We start from the raw sequence: 15,791 nt of genomic DNA, 5'->3' as shown, positions 1-15,791 counted from the left end.
ATCCTCTTAGCTTGGGCTTGTGGACCCCAAATCAACAAGTATTCTTAGGGGTCCCAGATTTTCACCTTCTGGGGCTGCTGGTAGACATGGCAGTCTTTATATGTGGCAGTGAAAGCTGAAGAAAGATGGTGGGTAGAGGAACCAGAATGTTCTAAAGCTTATGGCCAAGTCTTCTCTCTACTGGATAATATTGGACAGCATGTGGTTTTGAGGTTCTGTTCATCTTTGGATTGACACGTTTTTAGATTTGTTAATTATTCTATCAGGTTACTGTCAGTTTTTTTTTTTTTTTTTTTGGCCAGGGACCTAGTTGGTCTCTTTAAGATAATATTGCAATCTCTGCCCTATTCCATTGTCTGTTTTGGGATTAGTTCTCAATGTTGGTATCTTTTGTTTCTGTGTGACTGGGGGACAGTGTCTCTATAGTTCTTTGTTCTGACAACACTGGAGCAAAGTGGGGTTCAGTGCTCCAGAGACCAAGTCTGAAGTTGGCCTCCGTCAGTCCTTGTCTACTCTTTTTTTTTGAGACGGAGTCTCACTCTGTTGCCCAGGCAGGAGTGCAGTGGCACGATCTCGGCTCACTGCAACCTCCACCTCCCAGGTTCAAGCAATTCTCCTGCCTCAGCCTCCTGAGTGGCTGGGATTACAGGTGCACACCACCACACCTGGCTAATTTTTGTATTTTTAGTAGAGACGGGGTTTCTCCATGTTGGTCAGGCTGGTCTTGAACTTCTGACCTCATGATCCGCCCACCTTGGCCTCCCAAAGTGCTGAGATTACAGGTGTGAGCCACCGCGCCCGGCCCTGTCTAGTCTTAGTTGTCGGTTAGCTCTTGGTTTCCTGTGCGGATGGAGGGGAGGAGCAGAGGAGCAGCTAAGTCCCAAACTTGGAATTAATCATAATACCATGGCTTTGGGACCTTCTAGGCCTCAGGTTGTAATGCCTTTATCCCTTGGGCACTCAGGTCCTGTGAAATTTAGATGGTCCCTGAAATGTGTACATCTGCCCAGCTGGGAGTTGGGTCTAGAGGGGCCAGCCAGCATGGGTGTTTTATCTGGCAGAGCCAAAAGCGTGAAAAGCCACTGGAGTGAGCCCAAGCCTTTTCAGAGAAACCTGAGGCTCCAGTACAGTTTCTGAGTCCAGAGGGACGGAAATGGGATCATCAACAAGGAACAGCCTCAAGATAGGACTTGGGATAAAGTGAGTATAGAATTTGAGAGGAGCGTCTGAGTCTTGCTTTTGTTGGCACAGGTTTGAGAATACATTGGGATGACTTAAAGGCAGAGGTTGAGATGGACCCCCAGAGACACAGGCAGCTGTAAGGAATGTCCCAGAAGCAGAAGGGTTAAAAGTGTGTGCTGGGGACCCCAGGATAGATAGAGCACCTCTTTGCTGGGAGCAAGGGCCCTTCCTCACATGCACTCTAGGGAAATCCTGGCCTTGTCTAGCTACTGATTTAAAAGGCAGTGGGTTAGACACTCTCTTCACAGAGGAACTCGAAGTCCAGTGACTTCTTAGAAGATTCTGGGAGAGGTGCTTGTGGTTATCCAGGCCAGTGGCTCTGAACAAGATGATGGATCAGAATTACCCAGAGAGCTTTATCAAATACTTTGCCTGGATTCCAGCACTCAGAGATTTTTTTTAAATTGAGTTAAAATTTATATACAGTAAAAATAGAGATTTTTGACTCCGTAGGTCTGGGGTTGGGCTGGGACAGGGTTATTTCAAGAAAATCACCCTGGGTAACTTCAATGTACATCTCTAGTTGAGAACCTGATTTTCTTCACTTCTAAACTTTACTGGTGGGGAGACTGAGACCTGAGGGGTTGTTCACGGTAGAGGATGGAGCCAGCGGACCCGTGAGCTCCTGTTGGACCACAGGCCAGAGCCCAGCATTCCTTCTTGTGGCCCACAGCTCTTTCTACTGAGTGACTGCCATCATTAAACTAACGAGTAACTGATGGGGCCACAGTAAACCTGTTTGGCACTTCTTCCCGCCTAATTTAGACAGATGTTTCCAGGTTTGGGGCATGTTGCAGTATAGTCCTAGATTCCTGCCCTGCACAGGCTGTGAGGGTGTTCATGTGAGTCAACCGATTGTAGGTCAGTGAACCCTGGTCGCCAAAGCCCTTGCCTGGGAGGAGCCAAGTTGGTCATGAAAGGCAAGTGCTATGTCCTGTTGCATGTCTTTTAGTAAGTACTGGGAGAAGCATTTTCCAGGCTTGATTCCAGAGAAGCAATGGAATTCCAGTACCATTGTTTCCACCACCACTATTATTACCAGTGAACCCACTGTGTGCTTGGATGAATTATCTCATGTAATCCACCCTTGGCAGTGGGAATGGTCATTTATCCCATTTTACAGATAAAGAAGCAGCTCAAGTAACATGGCCAGGGTCACCCAGCTGGCTGGTTAGAGCTGGAGTTCAAGCCCAGGCAGAATGACTACAGCTCCTGGGTGCTTCGCCACGCTGCTTCACGGCTTTCCAGAGCGCCAGATCTGGAACCGCGCTGCTTCACGGCTTTCTAGAGCGCGAGATTTGGAAGGTCTTGCAGAGCAGCATCCCCTAAATGGCAGGTTCCAGGAAAGATCTTTATGGGAAATGTGAAAAGCAGCGATGGAAAAATATGTGGATACACAGAGCTTCCAATCCCCTTCTTGGAGGGTCACAGTGTACACCATCATGCTGGAGATTTTGAGAAGAATGGCAGTTAGGAAGTCTGTTTAGCTTTGACTAACCAGCAGGTCCCAACTTAACTTGACATGGAATGCTCCTTTCTACATTATCCTAAATGACTTACAGACCATTGTTTCCCAAACACCAGTTGGGGAAACGCCATCATGGCTCATAAGTCTAATGCTCTCATTTTCAGTGGACACATGGGACCCAGGGAAGGGAAAGGACTTATCTAAGGCCCAACACAAGTGCACTGCGAGGCTGGGGAATCTCTGCAGCCTGATTTTTGTCAGGACAGCCATCTTTGGGAGTACCTGGAATCCTGATGGGAGCAGATAGATGATAACCCCTATGAGACTCCTTAGCTCTAGGCCTTTGTGAAGGTAGCAACAAGATTCTTTTTTTTTCTTTTGAGACCGAGTCTCACTTTGTCACCCAGGCTGGAGTGCAGTGGTGTGATCTCAGCTCACTGCAAGCTCCGCCTCCCGGGTTCACGCCATTCTGCTGCCTCAGCCTCATGAGTAGCTGGGACTACAGGCGCCCACCACCATGCCTGGCTAATTTTTTGTATTTTTAGTAGAGACAGGGTTTCACCGTGTTAGCCAGGATGGTCTCGATCTCCTGACCTTGTGATCCACCTGCCTCACTCTCCCAAAGTGCTGGGATTACAGGTGTGAGCCACCGCGCCCGGCCCAAAAAGATTCTTTTTATATGTAGGCATACGCAACCGCAAAGGAGATTTGGAGGAGCTTTGGATAGTTCCTCTTTCCCAGGGTAATGATGGGAACCTCGAGCCGGTGGCCAGGGAAACAGACTGAGCTTGTTGGGTCTGGACTCCTAGCCCTGCCCACACGGCCTCTCCTGCGGGCCATGCTCATTCCTATCCTATGTTGACTCCCTGGGCCCAGCCATCATACCCACATATCCTAGCCCTTCATTCAGCCTGCAGATTCCTTTCAGTCCCTGGTAATGCAGTTGATCAAAATTTGTTTCTAAGCAGCAAGTCTCCATCAGCTGATTATTATAGAGGTTTGTTCTTTCCAGTGTTCTTGGCAAAATGCCTCCCAATATTTACTTATTAACTTGAGAATTGGTTTTTGCCTTCCCGTCGGAGAACTCTGCCACTCTTGTCTGCGTTTCTCGAAGCAATTGATATTCTCAGTGGTGAGGGGAGGGATATTTTGCTTCCTGAGATGAAAGAGTGACTTTCATTGAAATGGCTGTCAAGAACTGCGGGTGCCATGACCTTGTGAACACTGTAGAACGGTTCTCTGGTGATAGAGGTGTTCATAGTTGAAGGTTTTGTTGTGTGTTGCATAATAGTTACGAGCACTGAAAAAACACTGCCTGGGTTTGAATGCAGCCCTGCCACTTAGTAGTGGAAAATAATACTATCAGTTTGTGAACATTAATTGAATTAATATATGGAGTTAGATGATACCTTACACGGGATAAGTACCATGTAAGCGTTTGCTGTTATTGCTTTTGTTAGGGTGGCTTCGGTTGGGAAGTTTTTACATCCCAGCTCCCCTGACTCCCAGGCCCTTGAATATTTGTACCCAAGAGGCTTTTCTTACTGTGGATATAGCATGGCCTAGAACTTTCTTCAGGCCCCTGGCCTTCCGGGATGAAGTGCCCGGACAACTTGTTCCTGACTGACTCTTTTTTGAAACTCAGGGGGAGTGGGAAGAGAAGTTCGACTTTGCATGAGTCTTCTCTTTGAATCTACTTCCTCCTTCAAGTTACTCATCCTTTTTATGAATCACCCATGCCAATATTGCTCCCTGAGTTTGCATCCCTTCCTTCCCAAGCATACTTCTGAGATGTTTGTGTCAGTACTTGCTCCATGGTCAGGAAATGCACCTTAATTTTTATAACCCAAGCCAGACAGAATTGAGTAAACCTCATATATGCTCTATCCCCAAGCCTCAGTTGAGTGGTTATTGGATTATCTTCTGTTGTGAATAAGTCACACTTCTGCTAGTCCGATTTCATGGATAGGGGAGAGCCGAGGGTGAAGCCCGATTAGCGTGTGAGCCAGGCGCAGCTGAACTCAGCTTGTCTCTCCAGCTCGTGCAGAAGTTAACTGGTGGGTGAGGCCAGTAGAGCTCTTCCCTAGCCTTGGGAAGGAAGCCTCTGGTTCGCTTTTCCATAAGCTGCTGGCCTAGAGGGGAATGTGTGAGACTAAGTGGACAGTGTTTCTGGAGAGAGTATTTGACCAGTTGTGTCAAACGCTGATGGCAGGTCAGTAGGATGAGGACTAGATTTAGCAATGTGAAGGTCATTGGTGACTTGAACAAGCAGCTTCGCTGGAGCAGAGAATTGTGATCCTGAGCGGACGGGATATATAGTTGTCTTTTTTATAGGACTTTAATTTGTTTAGATAGTTTCAATTTTTTGCCATTTTATGATGCCATACTATGATGCTTGTGAACATCTTTAGGTACATAGTGTTTCTTAATATTATTTCCCAAGGATACTTATCAGAATAACATTTCACTATAATGCCACTAATATTTGGTTCTCAGTCTGTCCTTTGAAGACACTTTGAAATAACATAGCTTTTTTTTTTTTTTTTTTTAAATTGAGACTGAGTCTCACTCTGTTGCCCAGGCTGGAGTGCAGTGGCGCGATCTTGGCTCACTGCAGCCTCTGCCTCCCAGGTTCAAGTGACTCTTGTGCCTCAGCCTCCCGAGTAGCTGGGACTACAGGCGTGCACCACCACGCCCGGCTAATTTTTGTATTTTTAGTAGAGACGAGGTTTCGCCTTGTTGGCCAGGCTGGTCTCAAACTCCTGATCTCAGGTGATCCACTGGCCTTGGCCTCCCAAAGTGCTGGGATTACAGGCGTGAGCCACTGTGCCTGGCCACATTTTTGTTGTAAATAAATATCCCAGAGGAAAATGGAGACTAGCTGCTATTGTTTTAAGTTACAAGCTAATTGAGCCATGAAAACTCATTGCCAATTCAGTACCAAGAGGTGCAGAAGATAATTGCCTCGGTGCATATTGATTTTTTCCTATCCAGGGTGGTTATGCTGTGAGGTAATTGACAACACCGGGTTTTAAAAAGGATATACTAGTCCCAGTGTAAAATATTTTTCCTCCTGCTAACTGCTCTGCCTGTCCTCAAATGTGCTACTTTTTTTTTTTTAAAGGAAGTGACAATTAATGACTTGTCACTTGTTCAGCCAACATTGATAGCCAGTTTAGTCTTGTCTCATCCAATATTCCTTATTACTTTGGCATTTTAATTTGTACAAAGCCGTTTTCAGTTATCTTCTTTTCTTATCCTGTTACATTTGCTTTTACACGGTTGGGTCTCCTGAGTTTGCATCCCAAGCAAGTTAAAATTCCAGGCAGGTTATTTTTTCAGATTTAAACAGAGAAGGCAGAGGCCTCCTTTCTCCCTCCCTATGTTTTCATCGCCTGCCTGACTCATCTCTGGTCTCTTTCTCCGCCTATCTGCCTGTGTTATGTTTTCTTCCCCTGAGATCTGTTGCTGAAAGGCTGACTGCAGGAGCAGTGCTCAGCTCTGAGGGGGCATACCTATTGCCCCAGGGGTACTATTTGTACATGTCGGGGTTGTTGGCCCAGTAGTGATGCTGGCGGGGATGGGGAGGAGGCAGGACCCTGTAGGCTGTGGGGAATAGGGCAGGGTGAGTGCCACAGGGCTAGGGAGCATCTTGCCCTGCTTCCTGCCGCACCCTGCAGGATGGCAAGGCCACTTTCAGTTGGCAGAACTCTGTTGTCCTATAGGACAGATGCTAGCCACATGTGGCCATTTTTGTTTAATTAATTAAAAGTAAAGAAAATTAAAAATTCAGCTCCTCAGTCACACTAGCTGTATTCCAAGCGCTCAGTAGCCACATGTGACTAGCAGCTACTCTATTGGACAGTGCGGGTGCGGAGCGTTTCCATCAGGCACAGGGTTCTGCTGGACGGCGCTGTCCTCCAGGGCTTGGCTGCTTCCTGGGTGATTGAAGAAGCCAACATTGAGGGGCCTTGGAGACTGGCAGTGGCAGGTGACCTGGGCAAGCAGGCTGCAGCCTCGGGCTAGCCTGGAGGGAATGGCAGTGCCAGGCAGGGAGACTGAGGCAGTGAGGAGAAAGAGGGACTGTGACTTGGAGGTCCTGACCAGGCTCAGGCTCACTGGAGCTCATTGGATACTTCAATGCAACAGGACTGTGTCTAGACCATGGCAGGTGTGGCTGGCGGTGCTGAACTCCTGCAGGCCAGAGGGGTGAGCCTGCTGGAAGGGGCTCCAGCTGGGGTGCAGGAAGAGCATTCCCAGCACGGCACTGCCCGGGCCCTCCGAGCTGTTCCTGAGAGCTGTATGAATGGAGTTCCCGGGCTGGGCAGTAGGGGAACTGCCAGAGTGAAGGGACCAGGGCACAAAAGCTTTTCATTCATGAATCTCTTTCATTTACAACAAACCACGGGTAGCCTCTCCCCAGGGATCTAGATGGTTCCAGGAACAAAGGAACACACAGAAAAGAGAGTCCTTTTATTTTTTTAAAGCTGAAAGAGGCTCTGTCCAGTGGAAGAACTGCGGCCACTTCTCAGTGGGACTTCTGACTGGAACAGTCTTAGGCGCCTGAGCGACTCTGAGGAAGGAATCCGTGGTGGTCACCCCTGGGGAAGCCAGGCCACCTTCTCAGAGCACTTCAAGCCAGGCATGTCTTGCTGGTAATAGCAATGACATTGAGTATGACTGTAATAATAATAACTGCTAATACAGAAGGCTTACTGAGACCCAGGCATTGTTCTAAGTGCTTTATATGAATTCACTTAAGAGAACATTTATGAGAACGGTAGCCAGCTTTATCACTGGAGGGTTCTCAGTGGCCCTCCATAGCATTTAACGTCAACAACCATTGTAGTAACAGCTGCTGTTTTATGGTTTAAAGAGAATTTTTATGTACATTGTCCTTTTAAAAAAAAAACCCAGCTTTGTTGAGGTACAGTTTATACCATCACATTCATCCATTGCAAATGCACAATTCTGTGGTTTTAGTAAATTTATAGGTTTATGTAACCACGACCACAATTCGGTGTTAGAACCTTTCCATTCCTCCAAATGTTTCCTCTGCTTGTTTGAAGTTAATCTCTGCTCCTACCCTAGCCATGGGCAATCACTGATCTGCTTTTTGGTTCTCTAAATTTGCCCTTTCTGGTAATTTCATGTAAATTGAATCATATAATATGTAATCTTTTCCACCTGGGTTCTTTACTTAGCATAATGTTGTTCTTGAGGTTCATCCATGTTGTAGCATGTATCAGTCATTTATTCCTTTCAATTTGTTACACAGTGTTCCATTGTGTGGCTGTCCCACGTTTTGTTCGTGTGTTTGTTAGTTGATGGACGTTTGGACCGGTTTCACTTTGGAGCTATTATGAATAATGCTGTCGTGAGCATTATCTTTGTGTGAACATATATTTTCATTCTTATTGGGTAAATTCCTAGGAGTAGAATTGCTGGGTCATATGGGAAATTTATGTTTAACTTTGTAGGAAACTGCCTGTTTTCTCAAGTGCTTGTACTCATTTATATTCCCTTCTGGGAGGCATGAGGGCTCCAGTTTTTCCACAACTTCTCTAACATTTGCTATTGTCAGTCTTCTTACTACAGCCATTCTGGGAGTGTATAAAGGTATCTCATTTAATTTGCATTTTCTTAAAGACTAGTCAGGTGAAGCATCTTTTCATGTTCTTGTTAGCCCTTTGCATATCTTTGGTGAAATATCTGAATAGATATATAATTGAGTTGTTTATATATATATAATATATATATTAATTGGGGTGTTCGTCTTCTTATTACTGAGTTGCAAGCATTCCTTATATAACCTGGATGCAAGTTCTTTATAAGATATACGATTTACAAATATTTTTCTCCCAGTCTGTGGCTTATTTTCATTTTAATATTGATTTATTTTTTATGCACAAAATTTTTAATGTTGAAGTTCAGTTTATCAATTTTTTTATTGTATGGATAGGGCTTTTTGTGTCATTATCTAAGAATTCTTTGCCTAACCCAAGGTCAGGAATATTTTCTCCTGCAACATTTGTTTTCTAGAAGTTTTATAGTTTTAGCTATTACATTTAGATCTATGATCCATTTTGAGTTAATTTTTATGTATGATGTGAGATAAAGGTCCAAATTCTTTTCTTTTATTAATTTTTTTGCATTTGTATATCTAATTGACTGTCCTTTACCCGTTGAATTACAATAGTGATAAGTAATAATAATTACCTTCACATTTTTGTTGAAAATATATTGACTATAAATGTGAGGATTTATTTCTGAATTCCCAATTTTATTGCATTGATCTATAAGCCTTTCCTGTGCCAGTATCACACCGTCTGGATTTCTGTGGCTTTGTAGTTATTTTTAAGATCAAGTAGTGTGAATTTTCCAACTTTGTTATTATACAAAATTGTTTTGGCTTTTTTAAGTTTTTGCATTTCCATATACATTTTAGGATCAATTCATCAATTTCTACCAAAAAGTCTGCTGGGATTTTGATAGTAATTTACATATCAGTCTGGGAGGAATTCCCATCTTGACGGTGTTGAGGCTTCCAATGCATGAACATGAAATGTCTCTCCACCTATTTAGATCTTCTTTAGTTTTCTCAGCAGTGTTTTGCAGTTTTTAGTATGCGAGTCTTGTACTCCTTTTATTAAGTTTATTCCTAAGTATTTTATTATTTTAGGAATGGCTTTTTTTTTTTTTTTAGACGGAGTCTCGCTCTGTGGCACAGGCTGGAGTGCAGTGGTGTGACCTCCGCCCACTGCATCCTCCACCTCCCGGGTTCAAGCGATTCTCTTGCCTCAGCCTCCCAAGTAGCTGGGATTACAGGCGCACACCACCACTCCTGGCTAACTTTTTTGTATTTTTAGTAGAGACAGGGTTTCACCACGTTGGCCAGGCTGATCTTGAACTTCTGACTTTAGGTGATCTGCCCACCTTGGCCTCCTAAAGTGCTAGGATTACAGGTGTGAGCCATCGTGCCTGGCCAGGAATGGATTTTTTTGAATTTCTTTTTTTGATTGTTTTGTTGCTAGTATATAGAAGTGTGATTGATTTTATATCCTGAAACCTTGTTAAACTCCTTTTTCTGTGTGGATTCCTTGAGATTTTTAACATACAGGATTATGTCATCTGTAAATAAAGACAGTTTCCTTCTTCCTTTCCAATCTGATGCTTTTAATTAATCAATTGCTTAGTTAATTCATTTTATTTTTTGCCTTATTCCACTAGCTAGAACTTCTAGGACAGTGTAGAATAGAAATGGCAATAGCAGACGTCCTTGCCTTGTTCCCAACCTTAGGAGGAAAGGATTCAGTCTCTCACAATTTACATATGACAATTGTCTGTGGGTATTACATTAATTTCAGATGTTATACCAGCCATGCATTCCTGGGATAAATCTTCACTTAGCTATTCTATGTAATTCTTTTTGTATTGATAGATAGAGTTTAGGAATTACAGTTTTCTTGTGCTCTCTTTTGTCTCATAGAATGAGTTGGGAAGTGTTCCTTTTCTGAAAGATTTTTTTGAAGAATTGATAAATTGTTTAATTTTTTTTTTTTTCTTGAGACAGAGTCTCACTTGGTTACCCAGGCTGGAGTGCAGTGGCGTGATCTTGGTTCACTGCAACCTCTGCTTCCTGGGTTCAAGCAATTCTACAACCTCGGCCTCCCAAGTAGCTGGGACTACTGGTGCATGCCACCACACCTGGCGAATTTTTGTATTTGTTTAATAGAGGCCGGGTTTCACCATGTTGGCCAGGTTGGTCTCAAACTCCTGATCTGAAGTGATCCACCTGCCTCAGCCTCCCAAAGTGCTAGATTACAGGCATGAGCCACTGTACCCGACCTCAAACATTTTAAATTTATTGAGACTTGTTTTGTGGCCTAGTATGTAGTCTGTCTCAGGGAATGGATGTTCTGTGTGTTCTTCAATGTGCAGAATGTGTATTTTGCAATCATTAGGTAGAGTATTCCATATATGTCAGTTAGGTCAAGTTGCTTGATTGTATTGAGTCTTCTGCATCCTTGCTAATATTCTGTTCCATCAATTATCAAGAGTAGGGTATTGAAATCTCCAACTATAATTGTTGAATTCTCTATTTCTCTTTTCAATTCTGTTGTTGCTTTATGGATTTGGGAGGTCTATTTTTAGGTGCGTATGCATATGTAATTCTTAAATCTTCTTGATGTATTGGCCCTTTTATAATTTTAAAATGTCTCTCTCTAATGATCTTGTTGTAAAGTCTGTTGTGTCTCTTGTTAATACAGCCACTCAAGCTATTGTATAGTTATTGTATGCATGGTATAGCTTTGTCCATTTTTTTAAACTTTAAACTTGTCTGTGTCTTTGAATCTAAAGTGTGTCCTTTGTAGATAGTTTATGCAGTTGGCCCTTGAACAACATGGGGATTGGGGTGCCAACCCCCCATAACTTTGGACTTCCCCCAAAGTTAAATACTAATAACCTACTTTTGACTTGGTTCCTTACCAATAACATAAACAGTCAATTAACACATATTCTGTATGTTACATATATACTGTATTCTTATAATAAAGTAAACTGGAGAAAAGAAAATTTTTTAAAGAAAACCATAAGGAAGGGAAAATATATTTACTATTCATTAAGTAGAAGCAGATCATCATAAAGATCTTTATCTTTGTCATCTTCATGTGGAATAGAATGAGAAGAAAGAGAAAAGGAGGGATTGGTCTTCTTTCTGAGGGGTGGCAGAGGTGGAGGAGGTGGAAGGGGAGGCAGGAGAGGTAGGCACACTTGGTATAACTTTTATTGAAAAAAATTCATGTTTAAGTGAATCCACACAGTTCAAAGTTGTATTGTTCAAGGGTCAACTGTAGTTTAAGTATACTTTTTAAAAATCCAATCTGATAATCCCTGCCTTTCTTTAAGAGTGTTGAGATCATTCATATTTAATATAATTAATTGATTTGGCTGGGTTTACATTTGACATTTTGTTATTAGTTTTCTATATGCCTTCTTTTTTGTACCTCTGTTATTTTTTGATTGCCTTCTTTTGTGTTAAATAAGTATATTTTAGTGTACCATTTTAATTCTTCTTTTGATTTTTTAACTGTATTTTTAAAGTCATTTTTTGTGATTCCCTAGGGCTCACAATATGCATTTTAATTTATCACCATTTACTTCAGATTAATAACTTAATTCCTATAAAACAGAAAGTTTGCTCCCGTAAAGCGCCATTCTTTCCCCCTTCCATACTATTATTTTCATATTTATTATGTTTATATACGTTATAAACCCAACAACCCAGTGTTGTAATTTATGCTTTATCCAAACTTACACATCTTTTTAAAAAGTTAAGAAATGAGAAAAATATATTCAATCTTTTATATTAGTACATATATTTAAAATTTTTGGTGCTCTTCGTTTCTTCCTGTGGACACAAGTTACCATCTGCCATCATTTCCTTTCAGCCTGAAGGATTTCATTTAGTTTTTTTTTTTTTTTTTTTTTTTTTTGAGACAGAGTCTCACTTCGCCACCCAGGCTGGAGTGCAGCAGCATAACTCGGCTCACTGCAACCTGTGCCTCCTGGGTTCAAGTGATTATTTTGCCTCAGCCTCCTGTGTAGCTGAGACTACAGGTGCACGCCACCAAGCCTGGTTAACTTTTGTATTTTTGGTAGAGGTGGGGTTTTACCATGTTGACCAGGCTAGTCTTGAACTCCTGACCTCAAATGATCCACCCACGTTGGCTTCTCAAAGTGCTGGGATTACAGGCATGAGCCACCATGCCCAGCCTCATTTAGTATTTCTTATAAGGTAAATCTGCAAACAGTTTGTTCTCTGTCTTTGTTTATACAGAAATGTTCTTTTTTTTTGCATTTTTGAAGAATTGTTTTGCTAGATACGGAATTCTTGGTTGATGTTTTCTTTTTGCTTTTTGCTTTCAATACTTTATGTCATCACATTGCCTTCTGGTCTCCATTGTTTCTAATGAGAAGGCAGCCATTAATCATATTGAAATGCCTTTGTACATAATGAATTGTTTTTCTCTTGCTGCTTTCAAGACTTTTTTCTTTCTCTTTGTCTTTCACAGGTTTGATTATACTGTGTCTAGGTATAGAACTCTTTGTATTTATCCTACTTGGGGTCTGTTGAGTTCCTTGGATGTGCAGATTAATGTTTTACATCAAGTTTGGGAAATTTTCTGTCATTTTTTTCTACAAATTTTTTTCACCTATTTTGTCTTTCTCCACTCCTTCTAGGTCTCCCATTGCATGTATATTGGTATGTTTGAAGTTGTCCCACAGGTGTCTTGGTTCATTTTTCTTTGACTTTTTTTCTATTCTTCAGACTGGATAATTTCTATTTAATCTATGTACAAGTTCATTGATTCTTTTGCCATCTTGAATCTTCCATTGAGTCCCTTTAGTGAGCTTTTCATTTCAGTTATTGAACTAACTCTAGCATTTGTCTGCTAAATCCAACATCTGAATGCATTAAAAAATAGTTTTGATTAACTGCTTTATTTCCTGAGTGTGGGTCACACTTTCCTATTTTTTAAATCTCTTATAATTCCTTTTTTGTTGAAAATTGGATGTTTTGCTATTATATCAAACTCTGATTTCTGGTATTTTCCCTGTAATGGTTGTTGTTGCTGTTTTGTTTGTTTTGTAACTTGTCTGGGACAAGTTATGATGTCTGTCTCACTTGCAATGTGTGGTCATTGATGGCTTTGCTTAGTACTTTTTTAAACTTTTGTTTTTATTTTAATAATTTGGTTTTTATTTTAAAATCAAATTAAACCCTGGATTCCTAGAGGTTGCCCTGGTGTCTGTGTAGCTTAGTGGGCAAGTCACATGTGTTACTCTATAAATGGAAATAATATAGTATCCACCTCATAAAGCTCTTGGGAAATTTGAATAAGTTAATCAATGTAAATCACTCAGTGTAGGGACTGGCACATAGTAAGTGCTCAATGGATATGCGTATTCTTATTCTTTGGTATTATCATTGTGTGAGGAAAATGAGGCTCAAAGAAATCTAGTGACTCAAGATCACACACCTGGTGAAAGCTAGCGCCGAGCTTAAACCCATAGCCATCGGATGTTACTGTATGAGGCTGCACCTCCTGGTTCTGCATCTCTGTCATGTTGTCACAAAATTTTTGTGTAAGTGCTTAATGTTTACACAAAGTTGGCTGTGGAGGGAAATGGAGCAGTGGTGTGGAAATTGGAAGAAATGTTGCCATTCAACCTTGAGAGTCTCTGATTCTGAGATACCACCCAGTGGACAGATATGGGAGCTAGCAGTTATGATGCAGGACAAGCAAGCCCCAAAATTGAGGCTTAGCCCAAGAGGGTTCTTGGCTCCTCATAGGAGACAATTCGAGAGTGCACCAGTGTGTTAAGCAGCGACTTTGATTGAAATGGCCAGTACACAGCAGCAGCAGAGGTACTGCTCCTTGAGGAGTACCTAGAGCACTCAGCATGCCTAGAGTATCAGCTCAGCAGCAATTCTGCACTCATATTTATACCATTTTAATTATATGCAAATTAAGGGTCAGTTTATGCAGAAATTTCTAGGATGAGGGTGGTAACTTCTGGTTGTCAGGTTGTTGCCATGGCAATGCTAAACTGACATGGCACATTAGTGGGTGTGTCTTATGGAAAGCTGTTCCCACTCCAGACCTGTTTTAGCCAGTCCTCAATTTGGTCCCGTGTTTGAGCCCTACCTCTGGGCAGCACAGAGGATTGTTTCAGCCTCACTCCCTGGATTTTCTTCTCCAAGGAGTAAAGAGCAAATCCTATATTTGTGGTTAGCTGGTTAGAGACTGTTTCTATTAACTATTCTTTTGGGAGCTAAACTAATTTAATTCCATCCCCTAGACTTTTTTCCTGTTCAGGAGTGGTGTCTCTGGGATGAGTCCTTCTCCAGAGTCAGATGTTTACTCTCACATCTAAATATAGAGCCAAGCAAGCTCGTTGAGACGTTAGTTGAACTCATGTCTTTGGATGGATTTCATATCACAGTGGCTTTCTTTTGTAGAGACTTTGTGAGAGAGGAGGGATTTACTTTTTTAAAAAAAAGGTTGGGGGTAAAAGGTTGAAAATAAACAAGGACACCTCTTTGAAGTGTTTAGGAAGAAAGGGAGGTTTTAAATATTTCCTGGAAATCATCTAATTTACAAATGCACAACTTTGTTAATCATGTCCAGGCATGTCCTCAGCCCCGGGTCTTTCCATAATATTAAGAGCATGTTCGGTGGAATGCAGCCTGAATCATTCACTTCTAGCTGCAAATGAAAAAAGTTTCAATCAACTGGGACTCTACCTCAATGTGCATGCAAAGCAATTAAAATCAAAGAAGCTTAAAGGAATAATGTCCAGGGGTGGAATCCCATTTCTTTCCCCTTCTGTATGTTTCAGCTCTTCAGTCGCTCCAGTAAACACTAGGACAAGTTATTAGGAAGAGATTGCCTGTCTGATTGATTGACTGTATTCTTAGGGCTCCTCATAGCACTATACAGATAAATTGGAATTTTCAGAAAAAAAATTGAATGAATATTAATAATAACAGTGGAGGCTGGTATCAAGAGAAGGGACACAGAAGAGACAGTTGGGAGGAGTGAGAAGCAAAGCTTCAGCTGGCCGGGCATGGTGGCTCACGCCTTTAATCCCAGCACTTTGGGAGGCCAAGGCGGGTGGATCACGAGGTCAGGAGTTCGAGACAAATATGGTGAAACCCCGTCTCTATCTTTTTTTTTTTTTTTTGAGATGGAGTCTTGCTCTGCGGCCCAGGCTGGAGTGCAGTGGTGGGATCTCTGCTCACTGCAAGCTCCGTCTCCCGGGTTCAAGTCATTCTCCTGCCTCAGCCTCCCGAGTAGCTGGGACTACAGGCGCCCGCCACCACGCCTGGCTAATTCCCGTCTCTATTAAAAATATAAAAATTAGCTGGGCACGGTGGTGGGCACCTGTAATCCCAGCTATTCAGGAGGCTGAGGCAGGAGAATCACTTGAACCCAGGAGGTGGAGGTTGCGGTGAGCCGAGATCGCGCCACTGCACTCTAGCCTGGGTGACAGAGCAAGAGTCTGTTTCAAA

General features: G+C 42.3%; 1 protein-coding gene across 5 annotated transcripts in view, besides 1 other annotated feature; it reads left to right on the top strand.

Annotated features, from left to right (window-relative positions):
- XXYLT1 (xyloside xylosyltransferase 1) overlaps positions 1-15,791 on the top strand; it is a 202,876-nt gene that overhangs the window by 68,459 nt on the left and 118,626 nt on the right. The window lies entirely within an intron of this gene.
- Positions 14,526-15,041: an enhancer, noted in NCBI's record as "H3K27ac-H3K4me1 hESC enhancer chr3:194908389-194908904 (GRCh37/hg19 assembly coordinates)". NCBI's record gives its function as "activates a minimal SCP1, AML or CMV promoter by ChIP-STARR-seq in naive H9 embryonic stem cells {active_cell/tissue: H9 hESC(naive)}" and the evidence as "EXISTENCE:reporter gene assay evidence [ECO:0000049][PMID:30033119]".

This window comes from Homo sapiens, chromosome 3 (assembly GCF_000001405.40).
Source record: "Homo sapiens chromosome 3, GRCh38.p14 Primary Assembly".
Lineage (NCBI taxonomy): Eukaryota > Metazoa > Chordata > Mammalia > Primates > Hominidae > Homo > Homo sapiens.
This window is presented reverse-complemented; position numbering and strand designations above follow the sequence as displayed.